The sequence below is a fragment of the Homo sapiens genome, chromosome 9 (genome assembly GCF_000001405.40).
Source record: "Homo sapiens chromosome 9, GRCh38.p14 Primary Assembly".
Lineage (NCBI taxonomy): Eukaryota > Metazoa > Chordata > Mammalia > Primates > Hominidae > Homo > Homo sapiens.
The window spans coordinates 41,386,219-41,404,849 of NC_000009.12; the positions used below are offsets into that span (position 1 = coordinate 41,386,219).

At 32.6% G+C, this 18,631-nt stretch overlaps 2 long non-coding RNA genes across 2 annotated transcripts in view; both read left to right on the forward strand.

Moving 5' to 3' along the window:
- LOC124900272 (uncharacterized) overlaps positions 1-18,631 on the forward strand; it is a 90,204-nt gene that overhangs the window by 28,294 nt on the left and 43,279 nt on the right. The window lies entirely within an intron of this gene.
- Positions 1-18,631, forward strand: part of LOC107984035 (uncharacterized) — a 123,240-nt gene that overhangs the window by 27,357 nt on the left and 77,252 nt on the right. The gene's annotated exons all lie outside the window — the stretch shown is intronic.

Sequence of the window (18,631 nt, forward strand, 5' to 3'; positions counted from 1 at the left end):
GTGTCAAATGATTTTTGTATCAAAGCTTTCAGAAAAAGGAGTGGAAAGAAAATTTAAAAAGCTTTTGTCCATCATTCTTAGATGTCATATTCAAGTAAATATTTCTTCAGACTTAATAAAAAAAAATTGAACAATAATAACAAGTGTGATTGTATTTCCATTAACCTGAAATTTACTGCTATTTCAAATTCTACTCAATTTAGAGTTTTTAAGATTAAAAACAAGAAATATTAAATAGAAGTTACAATATTTTTGAAGTAATTGGTGAGAATTTGTTTAATAATGCCTACGTGTTTGGTAATTTGATCTTAGTTCTACAAATTTCACTATCACAAACTCTTCCCTGTCAGTTACCTCAGCTACAAGATTTAACAGACTGTCAATGACAACTGTGTCACATATGGTAGTGCCCTTTGCTTTAATGAGGGTGATTAGCTAAAATTGATGTTCATTGCCTTAGTACAGATATACTATATTTAGATATATTTAACTCTATTACACATACTGCAAACACATACTCTTGTTGTCTTCGACACTATTATATATTTTACTTGTTATAGTAGATATTTATTTTAGATGAATAACTAAGTATAATAAAATAGATAGCAGAGGAATTAATTATCTCACATGGATATCATTTCACCTGATCTTGATGAACAAGGAAATGGGTGATTTACCCAGGAATAAATATAAAGTTCTGTATGGTTTGGAAAGCACAAATGGTCACCTAATTTTGAAACACTTTAGGTAAATTCCCATTCAGAAAAACATTTATCACTTATATAACTAATGAAATGCTTAGGGGAAAGTGTTTTGGCTGTCAAAGAACCATACTTTGCTTTTAGAGACTATGTTTGTATTTGAATATTTCATAAAAACTATTTCTAAGCCAAGGAAAAAAAAAAACTAAATAAACAGGCAAAGATCTATTATTGAAAGTGAAATATTTACATATAACCGTAGTTAGAAAAGAAGTGGAAATCAGTATGTGATTTCAGATGATTGCATATTTTATAACTATTAGGGTTAAAGTGCATTAGAGCTTCCTGTTTGCCAGTTGCTGAGAGGCTTTGATTCAGAGGTAGCATCTGTACAAAAAGATACTGCCATTTTTATGGTAAATGCTTTTTAAATTGAGCTAGAAAGTAAATAGTCACACATTTTGAAAAAAATATGAATTTTTAAAAGTCTGTGTTTGAACATCAATAAAGAAACAAACGTAACTATGAATTAAGAGAAATCTAGAAATACTTTATTTAAACAAAAACATTGCAAACATTTATGTCATAATATTTACTTTCTTAAAATAGAAACAAAAGCAGTTGGAGATTTAATTCACTATAAGAAAGAAAAGCTTTTGTACATAATGTTTTCTAAGGTAGTAAATGTAAACCTAAGTAACATGGCATGGAATGAAAATAAATTACTGAGAATGGCTTTGTATTGATTACGTATGTTCTGAAATTTTTCCGTATTGAAACAAATCTACACAGTGGAGGAAAATATGTACTTAAAACTGGCATCTGATGTGATTAGTGTATTACATACATACAAATTTGCAATAGTCTCTGAAGAGAAAATGAGATTTCTACCTTTTCCATTTCCAATTCAGTCGAGTCATTTTGGTGTATTTCTCTGATAGTGTCTCTATTAAAATGTAATTTATTTTATTTTATTTCTATAAATTTATGGAGTGCAACTGTAATTTTGTTACATCCATAGGTTGCATAGTGAAGTCAGGATGTTCAGCATATTCATCACCTAAAAAGCATACCTTGTACTTATTAAGTAATTTCTTATCATTTACTCCCCTCTCACTCTCCCCCAACTCTTCCAAGTCTTCATGTCCAAGTCTCTATCATTGCACACTCTATGTCCATGTGAATGCATTAATTACCTCCCATTTATAAATGAGAACATGCAGTATCTGTCTTTCTGTGTCTGACTTTCATCTAAGATAATGTCCTCCAGTTCCATCCAAACTGCTCCAAAATACATGTTTCATGAGTATATTATTTTTAAAGGCTGAATTGTATTCCACTGTGTATATCATCATATCTTCTTATCTTTAGGTGGAAATCTTTTTTATTATACTTTAAGTTCTGGGGTACATGTGCAGAACTTGCAGGTTTGTTATGTAGGTATACACGTACCATAGTGGTTTGCTGCACTCATCAACCTGTCATCTACATTAGGTCTTTCTCTAAATGCTACCCCTCCCCTAGCCCCTCACCCTCTGACAGGCTGTGGAGTGTGATGTTCCCCTTCTTGTGTCCATGTATTCTCATTGTTCAGCTCCCACTTATGAGTGAGAGCATGCAGTGTTTGGTTTTCTGTTCTTGTGTTAGCTTGCTGAGAATGATGTTTGCCAATTTCATTCATGTCCCTGCAAAGGACATGAACTCATCATTTTTTATGGCTGCATAGTATTCCATGATGCATATGTGCCACATTTTCTTTATCCAGTCTATCGTTGGTGGGCATTTGGGTTGGTTCCAAGTCTTTGCTATTGTCAACAGTGCTGCAATAAACATATGTGTGCATGTGTCTTCAGAGTAGGATGATTTATAATCCTTTGGGCATATACCCAGTAATAGGATTGCTGGGTCAAAAGGTATTTCTAGTTCTAGATCCCTGAAAAATTTCCACACTGTCTTCCACAATGGTTAAACTAATTTACACTCCCACCAACGGTGTAAAAGCATTCCTATTGCTCCACATTCTCTCCAGTATCTGTTGTTCTCTGACTTTTTAGTGATCTCCATTCTAACTGGAGTGAGATGGTACCATCTCACATTTTCTTTATCAAATCATCTATTGGCGGACACTTAGGTTGATTCAATATCTTTGCTACTGTGAATAGTGCTGGGATAAGTGCTGGTATGTTTATGATATAAGGATTTCAAATAGACTGTAAGAGTGTAAAAAGTTTCCACTGAACTTTGGACTGGAAATATGATAAGAGAAGATCCTTTCACTAATAGAGGTGGAGCGTTAAGAGATAAAATCGATAACTAATTTTATGCTGCACTAAACAGGGAAGAAAGAGAAAGTGAATAAAAAGCAAGTTTTGTGGTCAGCCAGGTTTTGGATTACATAACGAAAATAGACAAACATACTTTATTAAGCATATTGCATAACCTATGCTACTTTCAGCTTATTTATATTCATTTAATCCCTCATTCAACTTAATATAATATCCTCTTTTCCTTCCTGGCTTTCTACCTGCCTGTTCTCATTCATTAACTTGTTTTAGCCAATGAGTCATGAGTAGCTACTCTGTTCAGGCATTGTTCTCAGTTCTAGTGATACAGTAGCATACAATTTTAACAAAATATCGCCCTCATGAAGCTACATTTTAGAGGAAGGAACTCAGTGAACAAGTCAACAGAAAAATATAAAATATTTTAGAATACAAATAATTGGTATGAAGGAAAACCAGTCAAATGAGGGGTAAGACATATTCAAGGTAGAGAACAATCTACAATTACACTGAGCCCTGAACAAAGAGAGAAAATAAGCTATACATAAATTTGGGGAAGAACATTTCAGGAAGAGGGAAGTGTACAGGCTCTAATGAAATCAAAAAGCTAGTGTATTCCCAAAAGAGCAAAAAATCATTATGCTTGAAATTGAATTGAATGAGCAATGAGAAGAATAGTAAAAATGAGATCAAACAATAATCTAGAGCTAGATCAGAAAAAAGTCTAAAAGCTAAAATGAAGGTATGCATCTTATTCTAGAGTGTGAAGAGATCTGATCAGGAGAACTACATGATCTGATTACTATTTCAAAATAAGGATTCTTGATGCTATTTGGAAAATGATGGCCTACTATAATGATAAGAGATTATTTTAAATATGTAGTAATGAGATAAAATTACATGAATGAGTGTTTTTATTTATAATGAGCATACCAGTGTGTAGCCTCTTTAGTACTTGTATACTTGGAAGCAGTTTATTCTCTGAAGATTTTTTTTTTATTTCTTCTCTAACTTGTTTATTCTTTTTAAATTTAATGTCAATATAATATGTTTTAACTTTAAAAATTTAGGTGCCTTATGAGTGGAATCTCAGTTAAAAAATGTTATTATTCAGTAGGTACTAAATTGAGTTCCTGTTTTACTTTACAAACCAAGCACCATAGGTTATTACAGAAAACCATTATAAGTCAAATTTTTTAAAAGTTTCTTCAGTGAAGTAGACATTACAAAAGTTATATTTAAACACAACACTATGAACTCAAGTCACAGAGGCAAAGAGAAACTATTGTATTTGCTTTGAGCATCTACACATTGTAAAAAAGGTTATTGAATGCAATTCAAATCTAACTTCATCTGAGGATAACCCCAGGCACTTTGTGCCTGTATTTCTTGTAGTTTTGTACTGACTATTGGAAACTCATTCAGTTTTGCCTTAAAGCACCCAGTAACCTATGAACAAAATGCATAAAAACTATTACATGATGTTCAGCCTTTGTAGACTAAACACAACAGGTATATGCAATTGCATAGTGCTGATGACTCACAAAAACAAAACAAAACAAAACAAAACAAAACAAAAAACTCTGTCCTCAGACTGATTTGTGAAAATAACTATTTAATCTAAAAATAAACTAAAGAGTGAAAATGAGAATTAGCAAATAGAGTTGAAGGTGTGTCTCAAAATGGATTGTATTTTATATAGCCTTTTACTATAATTATTCTTATAACAGGGCTTGTTTTCCTCTATTAGACTGCAAATGTGTTGGTTACTGAGGCGGTTGCACTTGTTTTTGTATCACTTATGAAACCTAGTATAGTGCTTTGTATTATAGTAATCATTCATTAGATATTATGTGAATGATTTGAATTATATTTCATAGTAGCTCAAAGTTAGTCTTGATGGATAAATGAATGTAATACAACCATATACATTATTAGTAAGGAACTTAATAATATCATGAAGTATCTTTAACCAAAGTAATAATTAAAAAGTAGGAGTAAACCATAGTAAGTTCAAATTTAGAATTTGATAGATAATGGAGATTACTTTTTAGGCCTAAATATTGAAGGATAGATGTTTATGAAACTTTGAGGTTCAAATTATTTGTAGAAATGTTTATTTAATATTATATTCAAGATATTAAAATGACAACAATGGGAAAATGTATAAGAGATTTGTTAAACACATCCTGAAAGCATGGAAATAACCATATATCTTAGCCTAATGCATGAAATAGTATAGCAAATATAAGCAGGATGTTTTCATTTTTATTTTAAAATTGTGTTTGTCACTGGATAGGGATAATAAATTTATTCTATTTATTTTTTGCTGTTAAACATATACTTTAATAAACTAAACACATTTGTTTCTGCAGTGGATGGAAATATGTTTGTCACAGGTAAAATTGTCACTTGGGTAAATTTTATCTCAAGCAACTCCTTTTTAGTTTTAATACTTTCTATGTTGCCCAAATCAAGTCTTATTTCCATGAATCACTGTTTTATGTAATAATTTTCTTGGTGAGGTCAATTTACATAGTTTTGGTACTTTCATGTCAGATTTCTAAGGTAGTATAATTTAGTTTAGAGGAAGAATTTCTACACAGATCATGCAATTGTCTCTTCATTATATATCAGGGTAAAATCTATAAAAAACAAAATTGGTTTGAGAACAAAGCTGTCATTACTTGCAAGATGAAAACAGAAAAATTGCATGTGTTTATTAAAACACAGAAGTATATTCCTGTGCAAATTAATGCAGATTCTGAAGCGAAAGACAGGACTTTTGAGAGATTTTGAGTCCAAGGGTTCACCTCTTCAAACACAACTGAAAAAACTCTATTTTTTCTATTTTTAAATCTAATCAGTTTATATATGCCCAGGTCCAGCAAAAAGAAGCTGGGTTGATAATGTGTTTTGCAGTTATTCAAGCTAGTTTGAAAGAGTACCTGGCAGTGATTGTGAAGACCAATGATTGTGCTACTAAGGTCTCTCAATTGCCAGACACCCACCAAGTATTTTTTAAATATGCTATTCTGTTTTGAAACTCAAAACCTTGTATTTTTGTTAATCTAGTTACCTGCCAAATCAAACAGGAATCCAAAGTTTCATAACCCTGCTGTGTTCTCTGGTTACTAGAAATAAGCATATTTTTGATGTTTTAACAACCTTTTAAAATAATAATTTCTAATAATGAAATAGAATATTTCTATTTTAAGTAGCTATTGGGTATATCTTTACATAACTAGATGATTATATTAAATGGGTTTTTTAGATGAATGATGTGCATGGGTAGATATTTTTAAAATGAAATATGTTTTTTCCTTTTTTACTTAAATTTCTTTTTAGAACATACTGTTATGAACATTAACATTTATTCAAGTCCTTGGGACAATTCTTCTTCAGTTACCCAGTAAAATTTTCATGATCTCTGCAAAACATAGATTAGAAATATAAAATAACATAAATTTTAGAATACAGTGAGATGACTTACACAATTTGATAATTTTTTATATAATATTTTATGATTAACCAGTTAACTGAAACCTAAAAACCTGTATTAACTGATTAATATTGCAGCAAAATGTCAGTTCATGTTATTGTATCAATCACTTATGGATACATGATTATGCTGTTGTGATATGATTTCTAACAATTGTCTTGTCATTTTTAGCTTTTACTATTATAATTTTAATTAAAATATATTAAAGTCACTATGTCATAACAGACTTTATATTGTGCCATGCAGTCCTATTGCTCTTTTGTTTCAAATATCATATAGTCTAAAGCAATGATTCTCATTAAATACATGCATCAAAATCAACTGCAGTTATTACATGCTAACTCAAACTTACAAAATCAAGCTCTCTGTGATCCTGGTTAATACATCTAAGTACTTGAGCCGATAATCCAAGTACTTTGGGGGGTCGAGGTGAGAGGATAGCATGTGGCCAGAAGTTCAAGACCAGCCTGGGCAACATAGCGAGACTCCATCTCCACAAAAAAGTGTTAAAAATTAGCCAGACATGGTGGTGCATGTCTTAGTTCTAACTACTCAGGAGGCTGAGAAAGGAAGATTACTTTAGCCCAGGAGCTCAAAGGTGCAGTGAGCTGTGACTGCACTCCAGCCCGTCTAAAAAAAAAAAAAAAAGGAAAGAAAAGAAAAAAAGAAATAAAAAGGTATACACATTTTTTTTCTGAAGTGGATGGAAATATGTCATGTCAGAGGTAAATTGTGACTTGAGTAAGTTTTATGTTGAGCAACTCTTTTTGTTTACATTTTCTATGTTGCCCAAATAAAGTCTTATTTTCATAAATCACTGCTTTACATAACAACTTTTCCTGCAGCCCTGGGTATGGTGGCACACAGTTGTAGTCCCAGGTACACTGGATGCTGAGGCAAAAGGATCATTTGAACCCAGAACTTCAAGGTCAACCTGGGCAACATAGCAAGATCCTATCTGTAGCAAAAATTTTTTTAATGATAATTCTCATGCAAAATTCAGTTTGCACTGTTTTAAAAAATGAAACACTTATAAGAGCATGGTCATAAGGCAATTCTGACTTGGTGTCAAGCCATTTAAACTTAGATATAACCTAGGATTTAGGATCCTTGCTATTGTTTACATAGTAAGTCCACATTTAATATCAGTAGATTATTGGAAACTGCAACTATCAGCAAAATGGTGAACAATGAAACAAATTTTACCATAGGCCAATTGATACAACAAGATATAAGTTCCTACTGCATATTTCTGGTCACAATATTATCACTGTACTTCTAAATGGAGACTAAAACACTTATAACATTCAACACTGAAATAAGTGTGAGGTATACATACATTTTTAAAAAGATTGATAAAAACAAGTAAGATGATTATTTACCCAATTATTCCAGTTCAGAGTCTCGGGTGGCAAGAACCTATTCTTACTCAGCATGCAATGCAGGAATAAACCCTGCACAGGATGCTATTCCATGGCAGGGCACAACCACATTCACTCACATTGGGACACACAGTGGGGAAATGCCAATTAACCAGACATGCACATCTTGGGGATGTGAGAGGAAGCAGGAGTTCCTGGAGAAAACCCATGCAGGCATGGGGAGAACATGCAGACCCTACACAGATGGTAGCCCTGTCCAGGAATCAATATTTATTCTCATCTACATTATAGCAAAACAACATTGAATAAAACAACTTTATTTGAGGACCTGTTTTACTTGTACATCTTTGGGAAAATCTTTCAACTTTTATTACTCATAATGTTCTCAATAAAAGTGTGTTAAGAATACATATTTCAGGAGGTTTTTTGAGACAATCAAATGTGGCAATGCATGCAGAATTAATAGCCCATAAGGCATTTTATACAGTATGTTCTTAGTAATCTACTTTTAATTGATAATTGCTTTATAAAATAATCTGATTACTTTTGGTATAAAGGATAACATATTCCACTAATACTGTGAAGTTTCAGTGATATAAACACTTAGAAATCATCTGCTCTGTTATGGAAAAAAACATCTAGAAGTATCTTTCAGATTGAAAAATGTTTTTAAGGTGCTGGAATAACGGTACCTCTTGCAGATTTGTCTAGCGTTACCCAATGCTTGTGATTGCTAGTAATATTAGTGAAATAAGTATGCAAATCTTTTAATAACTGAATAGAATCCTTCCCTGAACAATTTCCCAGGTGTTATTGCTGTTGCTATCTTATTAAATATTCAATGCCATCTATTATATCCTATACAGAGTCAAATAATAAGCTTACATAAACTAATATTTAATATAATACTAATAAATTTAAGATGATATAAAGCAGAATAAAATAACATTTCAGAATAAAAAGACTTTGAAGCTTCCCTGTATTACTTGATAAGATTTAGGTACAGTCTCAAGAAAACATTTTTTTTTTCCTTCTTCTGCATCAGCTCATCTACAAACCAATTTATTTCTGAAATAGGCCCCAGGGGCAGGCTGGTTGGTGACTGTAATGGGGGATATCTGACTGGCCACTCAAGGAAATTGCTATGGACTTTTAATCTTATTTTGACTAAGTTCTGTGCAGATTGTGTCTGCCAGGCGAGCATTAAGATTACTGTTTCTGAGATCTTTTGGTTGCTATCAGACTGGACTCAATTTTTTTTCTACATTCTCAAGGTTAAGTTGAAACAGTATTACCCATTATTTATAAATGGTAAGTGTTTAGGTTTTGCCTTGTGTTACAAACTAGAATGTTAATAAAAATACTATATTTAACAAGTTGCAAGTTTATGAAAGTCATTGTTTTTGAAAGTAAGTTTTAGATTAAAAAAACAAAAGAAAGGAAAAGAAAAATCTTTTAAGGGGAAACAATGTCTTTATGTGTTTAAAGTTTCAAAATGTAATTTATAAAGAAATCAAATATAGTTAAAAATAACTAATCAAAGATGAATATTTAGTGTAGAAGAACATGGATATGGATAAACTGTAGGGTATTTTATTTATCTTTTTCTTTCAGCAAAGATCTAACTAAAATTAGAGAAATGATGTGTTTTATTCTAGAACCATCACGATACAAACAATAATATGTTGTTTTTCATCTTGTATTGGATAAACACTATTAATCCCATTAATCCATTCCTCTTTGCTTCTTCAATTAAAATTCTGTGTATTATATAAATACCTCCCTCTACCCTCTGCAGTGTAGGAGAATCAGGGAAATCTCATCCCATCTGCCGAAACAGAGATGTATCCTGTATGTACCTTGCCAATGATGGCAACTTCTTTTCCTTTGTCGAGATATAATACAAACCCCAGGTTGACACCATTTAGTTCATGATATCACTTCCAGATTGATATTGGTGGAAAGGTGACTTAATCTGGCTAAATCAGATGCAAGAGATGGACTTGTGTTCTATTATTAGAATATAAATTTCTTGTCTTTCTGTATATGATTAGCAAAGCATGCTGCAACAATTGTTCTTATCAGCAAAGAAAAATTCTGATAAGCACCTGGAAATACGGCACCTGGAAGCCCTCATTCCTCAGGACTTGATAAAAGAATTCATTATTATTAAAGCAAGTTAAGAGCCAGGATTACTGTTACTTGTCTTGAAAGCATGCTGACATCTCCATTGTTCCACATGCCTTGTCAGAATGATCTCTGGCTTAGGGAAAACTTTTCAGCTATCTGCTCTAGCACACTGGTGTGAAAGATGTGTTAAGGGAGAGGTGATAGCTTGATCCTTAGTGCTGTCAGACATCAGGTGGGTCTTAGATAGCTCGAATCATCAGGTCACTTTTTTCAGCCATGAGTAGTATGCTCTACAGCAGTTATTAATTTATATAAATGCTGTAGATTTAAAAATGGTAGTGAAGTGCTAATTCAGAGTATCTGATTTATAATTCAGAGCAATTCAATGGGTCATAGTTAAGTTGGCAGAAGTATTCTAGTTATCTCTCCAAATATAATAATTTTAAATATTGTTCACACAAGGAAAAAACCTAACATCTTTCTCCATATCCTTAAAACTCCAGATATGAATTTGATCATGCAGTGCTTGTCTTTCTGTGCCTGGCTTATTTCACTTAACAAAGTGTCCTCCAACTTCATCCACATTGCTAAAAATAACAGCATTTTATGGCTGAATATTGTTCTGGAGGGGTGGATAGATAGATGATAAATAGATAGATGATAGATAGATAGATAGATAGATAGATAGATAGATAGATAGATAGATATACATTTATACACCACATTTTCTTTATCCATTTGTTGTTAGATGAGCATTTAGGCAGATTCCATATCACGGCTATTTTGAATGATGCTTCAATATCCCTGGGTGCAGATGTCTCTTTGACATACTAATTTCATTTTTTTTGATTACGTACCCAGTAGTGGGATTGCTGGGTAATATAGTAGTTCTCTTTTTTATTTTTTGTGGAAACTCCATACTGCTTTTCATAACAGCTATACTATTTTAAATTCCCACCAACAGTGTATAACATTCCTCTTTCTCCACATTATCGTTTCCATTTGTTATATTTTGTCTTCTTGATAATATCCATCATTTAAACTGGGATAAGGTGATAGCTCATTGCGGTTTTGTTTTGCATTTTTCTGAGGCTTAATGATGTTGAGCATTTCTTTATATATTTTTTGGCCATTTGTATGTCTTCTTTTGTCCATTTTTTAGTCAACTTTTTCTTTTGCTATTGAGTTTTTTGAGTTCCTTATATATTCTGGATATCAAACCTTGTTGAATACATAGTTTGCAAACACCTTATCCTGTTCTGTAATTGTCTCTTCATTTTATTGATTGATAAGAAGTAGGTTAATTGTGCTATATAAGTGCAAACTTTGTCTAAAGGAGAAAATGTGTTCTTTGAAGACAAATGTCCATTTGTCAAGCCCCCCAGTACTTTCTTTTATGTAGGAATGCCAATATAGGACCTTTCCGTTTTGAAGCTGTTTGTGAGTAGATTTTTCTCTTCCCACCAACTGGAGGCTAAAATGTAAACCAGAGACCCAAGAATAACCACTCATTCCTTGCATTTTTAACCTTGCAAGGTAAGAAGTAGGCAGAGAGTCTGAAATTATTCCTGTCAGATGGATAGATTTTTTGAATCCAATGGTAAAGTGGGAAGTGACAAGCTAAAGCAGAGCCCAGCAGCATTCCAGAAAATGCCTGTGCATGCTTTGCTGGCAGTGGCCAGCGGTCATGACTGACAGGACAATAGCCACATGAAAAGCAGAACTTCCTTTTTCTGATACTGGTTCTGACTTGCTCTCTGATTACTGCCTGAGGCTGGTTCACCTACTTTTTTTTTCAATTCTAAGAGCTGCGTTGTGCTTTTCCAACGCATTCATTTTTGCTTGCTTTAAATTCCAAGTAATTTCTATTGTCTTTAAACAACTGCCTACCTAAAATAATTATTAAATATATAGCTAAAACACTAAATTAAATAAACTTACATTGTTTTCCTTGCTGTAAGAATTCTCTAAGCCTTTCTTATTTTAATATGCATCATGAACCTCCAGTTGAGGCAATGTGCAACACATTTTGAGAGACATGATCTACCTGTTGGAATCTTAACATTTAGAACAGATATATTGATCAGTGTATAATTTTTGGATTATCAAAGATGGGAATAAAATTGAGCTATAATATATAAAATAAGAGGATTTATATATGTTTGTTTTTTTACTCCCCATTTCACCTGCTACTTCTTTATGGATAACAGTTATCCCACTTGATGGAATTTTTCTCTTTTCATCCATTACTTTTTTATTTAAAGTATTCCCTCTCCTAGGATGTAAGTTTCTATAGACTGAAATGTTGTTATTTAATGGTAATAAGCCTTATTTTCAGGCTGCTTTACAGAATTTTGGCTTTGTCTTTTGTTTTCTTCATTGTACTTTTCTTACTCCACTCAGAATTTGTTGACCTTCTTAAATCTGCTTATATCTGTCTTCAATCAGTACTAAAAACATTCTCTATTATTTCCTTAGTTATTGCCTTTGTCTCTCTTTTCCTGGTAAAGTTTAGACACATATTAACGTTTAACTCTATCCTTTGTATCTTGAAACTTTTCTTCAATAATTTATTTTCTTTCTTCCTACTGCACTTCGTTAATTTTCTAGTAGTTCTCTGTTACTTCTAGCAGGTATTTCCTTTCTAAATCTACCATGATCATATTTGTATTTTCCTATGTGCATCTTTAAGCCTATGTTTTGTTCTTTAACTTCTGTCTGATAATTCTATTATTTAAATTGTTTTTCTTGTCTGTCGATTTGTTTCTGGATGTTGTTATCCTTAACAATATACTGATTCTTCTCTGTGTATGTGTGTCTCTCTCTCCATGTCTCTCTAAACACATGCACACAAACTCTCTCTCTCTCTCTCATGTATGCTATATTGCATACAAATGATTTACCAAAATAATTGACTTTATTTTTAATACAGACCTACAAGTTAGTTACTTTCATATTCACGTTACAGTTGAGGAAACTGAGACTCAAAGGGAAAAATGACTTGGCCAAGTTTATACACCCAATTAGTGTCAGGATAGTTTAAGATTACCTTGTTGTCTACTATGGAGATAAGTTCCTCCAGAAGTTTTGCTTATGCAAGCATTACCCATATCAGATCATCTTAAATCAGGGTGAAAATATGAGTATCTGAACAACTCAGATTTGGTCCCAGACTTCAAGTATGCTCAAGAGCTGGTTCTTGTTTTCTCCTTCATTGGAGTGTATTAACCTTATGATTCTAGCTTAGAATAGCAAAAGTCTCTGGGCAGACTCTCTATATTTTGTCAGCCATAGACTATAATTTCTGTCTTTTTCATCTGAGAATTCTATCTGAATAAAAGTTAACTTGGCTTGCAAGGAAAAGTTCCCCAAATTCAGTGACAGTTTTCCTCTTTGAGCTCCCATCTTCTTTAACTCTTATCATGTTTTTCTGGTAGCTCTGTTCTGCTTCTTCGTTTGACTTCCATTGAATTGGGTAACTTTTTTTTTCCTCTTCCCGATGTACATAAATGACTTAAAGTATATCAATATCACTATATTCTCTATAACACACAAATAACTAGCATAAATACGTTGCATTTAGACAGTATAGTCTAAATACAAGTTCCCTGTCCTATTTTGTAGGTCTTTGAATGTTGTTTAAAAAAAATGCAACTAAGACATGTTAAATTTCACTAAGTTTATTTGACCAAGAAAAAGGTTTGAGAAGTAGGCACCATCCCAGAACAAAGATCGTTCAGAGTGACTCCACATCCAGAGTGGTGAGATGTATTTATAACCAGAACATATAAAATTATATTCAGAGTTTCCCTGATTGGTGCAGTTCAATATTTGCCTTATTTGGGCATAATTTGGCAGCATTCAGCCTAGGATTGACTAAGGGTTTGGCTCCTATGATTGGTTGAGTCTCAGTTGCTTGGTTACAAGTCCATATATCTACATTAGCTTACAACTTATCTACACATTAAGTTAGAGTACAGTCACTATGTATGGATGCCGCTTTGGGCCAAACTTAATTAGGCAAGTACAATGGGCACTTTGAGCCAAACTTAACTCAGCTTAACAATGTTCTCTAGTATTTGTTTTACTTTATTGTATTTGTTTGATTCAATATAGCAAATGCTTCTTTAGACTTACCCACATGTTTATATATATATTACTGTTTTGCCTCCATTGAACATGCCTTCTACTTCCTAATTTGTGCCAGAATTGACTAGTAGACGCTATGAATGCATCATGCTCTTTGGCCCATTTCGAACACTCAGGTATGTCTGTACTCTTAGTTCATCTATTCATCATTGTTTCTACAGTTCCCTCATGCTTTAAAAAATATATGGCTTTTATAATTTATCCAGCTTTTTCTTGTCATTTTAATAAGAGTATGTGTCTTATACAACTACTACATTCATCCCAGAAGTAGAAGCAAACTATTATAATCCCATTATTTTTATTCCTACTATTCTCTTTTCAGAATTTCTTTTAGATATTCCTTGGATAGTTTTATTCAATCCTCCATGGCTTTCAGCTTATCTTATGTTCTATCTTTTGGTTCATATTCTGCATTCTGGATAATTCTTCATCTTCACTTTCTAGTTTGTTGATATTCCTTTTGGTGACTATAAGCTGCTCTTTAAAATGGTCAATAATGCCTAAGATGTTTATTATCTTGCCCTTTGCAGAAAAAAATTTTCAGCTTTTGCTCTGGAATGATTTTGCATCTCTTCCACCAAACTTCCAGTGTATCAATGGCCAGAAAATAATCTATATGTTAATTTGTTAATTTGATGGTTCATGGTTCAAGGCTGTATAATTTAAAAGTTTGAAGTCAAACAACACATGATGGATAATCCTGATGTTACAGATTCTCAGGGGAGAATATGTATTTGTTTTTTCTACCAATTGTTCTAGTATTTACAGACAAACTTCTTAATTATACTGGGTTGGTTAATAAGTATTTTTCTTTACTCTTTCAATCTAGGTCCAGCTATGCATCACCCCTTCGCTGATGAGCATTAAGAAAATCCAAATTTGGCCGGGCGCGGTGGCTCACGCTTGTAATCCCAGCACTTTGGGAGGCCGAGGCGGGTGGATCACGAGGTCAGGAGATCGAGACCATCCTGGCTAACACGGTGAAACCCCGTCTCTACTAAAAATACAAAAAAAAATTAGCTGGGCGTGATGGCGGGCGCCTGTAGTCCCAGCTACTCGGGAGGCTGCGGCAGGAGAATGGCGTGAACCCGGGAGGCGGAGCTTGCAGTGAGCCAAGATTGCGCCACTGCACTCCCGCCTGGGCCACAGAGCGAGACTCCGTCTCAAAAAAAAAAAAAAAAAAAAAGAAAATCCAAATTTATAAATTGCTGGGTCCATCTCTCTTGCCATCCAGAAAAGTCAGAGCAACTGGTCTTGCTGGTTTTAAGTGTTGCCTGTGTTTCTGGCATTGGTAATTTTCTTTGTTTTCCTGTAGTTTTAGGTATACATATATAATGACATCTCCAAAATTCATCAATATTAGCATTTGTTATGAAGATTTTTCAGGCAACTGGCTTACCATATGGCCTAAATCTGATTCTGAAGTCCACGTTTCACTTTCTCAAATATAAAAACTGTTTGCTAATAAGCACTAGAAAAATATTTCAAAGAAGAACATTTTGATAAATATGATTATACAATATTCACTGCAGTAAATAACCGTTGCATACTCAAAGGAGTTTCATTTGCATATATAACATGAGATGAAAACCAATGATAAATGGTGACTTTTAATAAAATAGATCAGAAATAGTATCTTGTGCAAATAACCTGATGCGAGAATAATTATCCCTCTAATTAGTAAAATTCAATAAGAAGGTAGAATTTTCATTTACATGTGATCAAATAACTTTTTTTACAATACCTTTGCCTTTTGAATTCTTTAATAAAATACATCAGAAATAGTATCTTGAACAAACAATCTGATGTGACAATAAGTTCCCCTCTAGTAAAATTCACTGAGAGTGTAGGATTCTCATTTACATGAGATCGAATACCTTTTTTTTTTACAGTACCTTTTGCCTTTTGAATTCTTTATTGTTTTCATTTAAGAAATGTGGAAATCTGAAACAAACTATATTCTCAATCATGTTAGAAAAAGTATATGTAATATGTATTTTTTAAAGTCCAGTGGCTAAGAACTTAGACTGGGTTTTGAAATAATAATTTCCTAACACAGTTTCTCAGTATGTTTCCTCTAGACAAGAGAAAACTCTGTAATTATGATTCTTAATTTACCCTGGTAATTTCATAAGAAAAATGATTAATTACTTTGAGCAATCAGTTATACAGATAATCATGGTTCTTTATTTAAACCACAAAAAATAGAAAGAAAGCAGAGAAGCTTAAGCATAAAATATAAAGACAAATTCAGTCATTTAGTAAAAATGAAATCAGTGTTAAAATATTTCTTTTGACACAGTCAGCTAACATCTTTCTATTTTTGCTGAGTAACTATTAATTATATTTTAAGTTCAACTAACTCTTGACACAGCAATGGAATTTGAAGTGAATATACTACTTTGAAAAATAAATGGTGTATTTAGAGTGTTGACATTTAGAAAATGGTAGTTTTGTGAAATTTGCAATGTGTTTTAGAATTATAAATGCTAAAGTAAGTGAATGCATGATTATATTTAATAGAATAAAAACAGAAGAATTTTTTAAGTCTTGACGACCCAAGGCAGGGTTCTGTTTTAAGTATTCCCCTTTCAATCAACGTTACAGCTATCCTAACTTAAAACTGCTTCAACTAATAATGTGTATTTATATTAAAAATGTAATCCATGGCTCTGAACCCTGGCTTCCTAGTAGAATCACATGGCAAGATTTTAAATAATACTCATTTCTTGGCTCTACTAAAGTCCAATTAAAACAGAACTTCAGTTTTTAGAAAGAGGTGTCGGTAGTTTGAAATGTTCCACATTATTCTAAGATGTGGGTGAGATTAAGAACCAGTAAGCACACCAGTCAGAATGGCTATTATTAAAAAGTCAAAAAATAGCAGGTGCTGGTAAGGTTGCAGAGAAAAAGGAACACTATACACTGTTAAAGGGAATGTAAATTAATTCAGCCATTGTGGAAAACAGTGTGGTGATTCCTCAAAGACCTAAAAACAGAACTACCATTAGACCCAGCAATCCCATTACTGGGTATATATCCAAAGGAATATACATTGTTCTATTATAAAGACACACGCACACATATGTTCACTGCAGCACTATTCACATTAACAAAGACATGGAATAGACCTAAATGGCCATCAATAGTAAAGACTGGATAAATAAAATGTTGAACATATACACCAGGGAATAAGATGTAGCCATAAAAAGGAATGAGATCATGTGTTCTGAAGGAATATGGATGGAATTGAAGGCCATTATCCTTAGCAAATGAATGTAGGAACGAAAAAACAAATGCCACATTCTCTCACTTGTAAGTGCAAGCTAAATGATGAGAACACATGCACACAAAGAAGGGAACAACAGACACCGGGGCCTGCAAGAGGGCAGAAGGTCGGGGGAGGGAGACCATCTGGAAAAATAACTAATGAATCATAGGCTTAATGCCTGGGTAATGAATTAATCTGTAAAACAAACCCCCATGATGCAAATGTATTTATATAACAAACCTGCACATGTACCCCTGAAATTAAAGGTTAAAAAAAAGAAACAGGGAGCATTGCTAGGCTATATTGAGTAAGCTCCAACTGCGCATACTTAACCTATAAAATGCCTAAAATATAGATAGTAAAAAATATGCACAAGAGTGACATAAAACAAGAATTCAGATATAGCAGTTGTTTTTATTTGTTTAAGAATAAATTCAAAATTCAGAATTATAATTGTATACTCTTATAAGAGAAAACACAATCAGATTCATTTTATATAAAATATATTGTGCTAATTTATACACTTTTTGATCCCTAATAATAAATACAACTCTGTTAGATGCCTTAAAAGAAATCTTTACATTGCTTAGAGAACGTTAAATATCAATTGTGTATTTAAATTTTCTACTTATATGACAGTATGCTATTTTTCCTTAACTTTGGGTAAATAATTTTATGGTGTGATTAAACCGATCTGACATTTTGAAAAAGGGCATGTTTTTTAATGAAATATAAAAGAGTTGTAATTTTAGTTATTCACTGTTGCACAAACCTACTTTTTTGGCTTCATTTGCAAAAGGTTGTTGGATAACCTTTATCTTTTACCACTAACTTCTTACTCTGATCCAAAATATTTGGCTTTTAAAATTCTCCTTATTTCATTATTTGTCTTCATATTTAAAATATCTTCTGTGATATTTCACTTCTAATTTTTTAATATTTTTACATAAAAAGAGATGAATACTGATATCCCTGATTTTTAAGAGAGGATTTTAATTTGGAAATAAACATGCGATAATATGATTTTAAAATGCTAAAGTGGAGCTCTAGCAATTCAACTGAAAATAGCATTATGAATAAACTATACTGTGGCAACTCTTTAACATAATAAAGGAGGACATCAACAGAGCAGAAAATTGATGAATTTTGGAATATATGAAGCATGTTGTATCAAATTGCCAGAGAAAGTAATGATCTTCTGTTACTGAACTTAG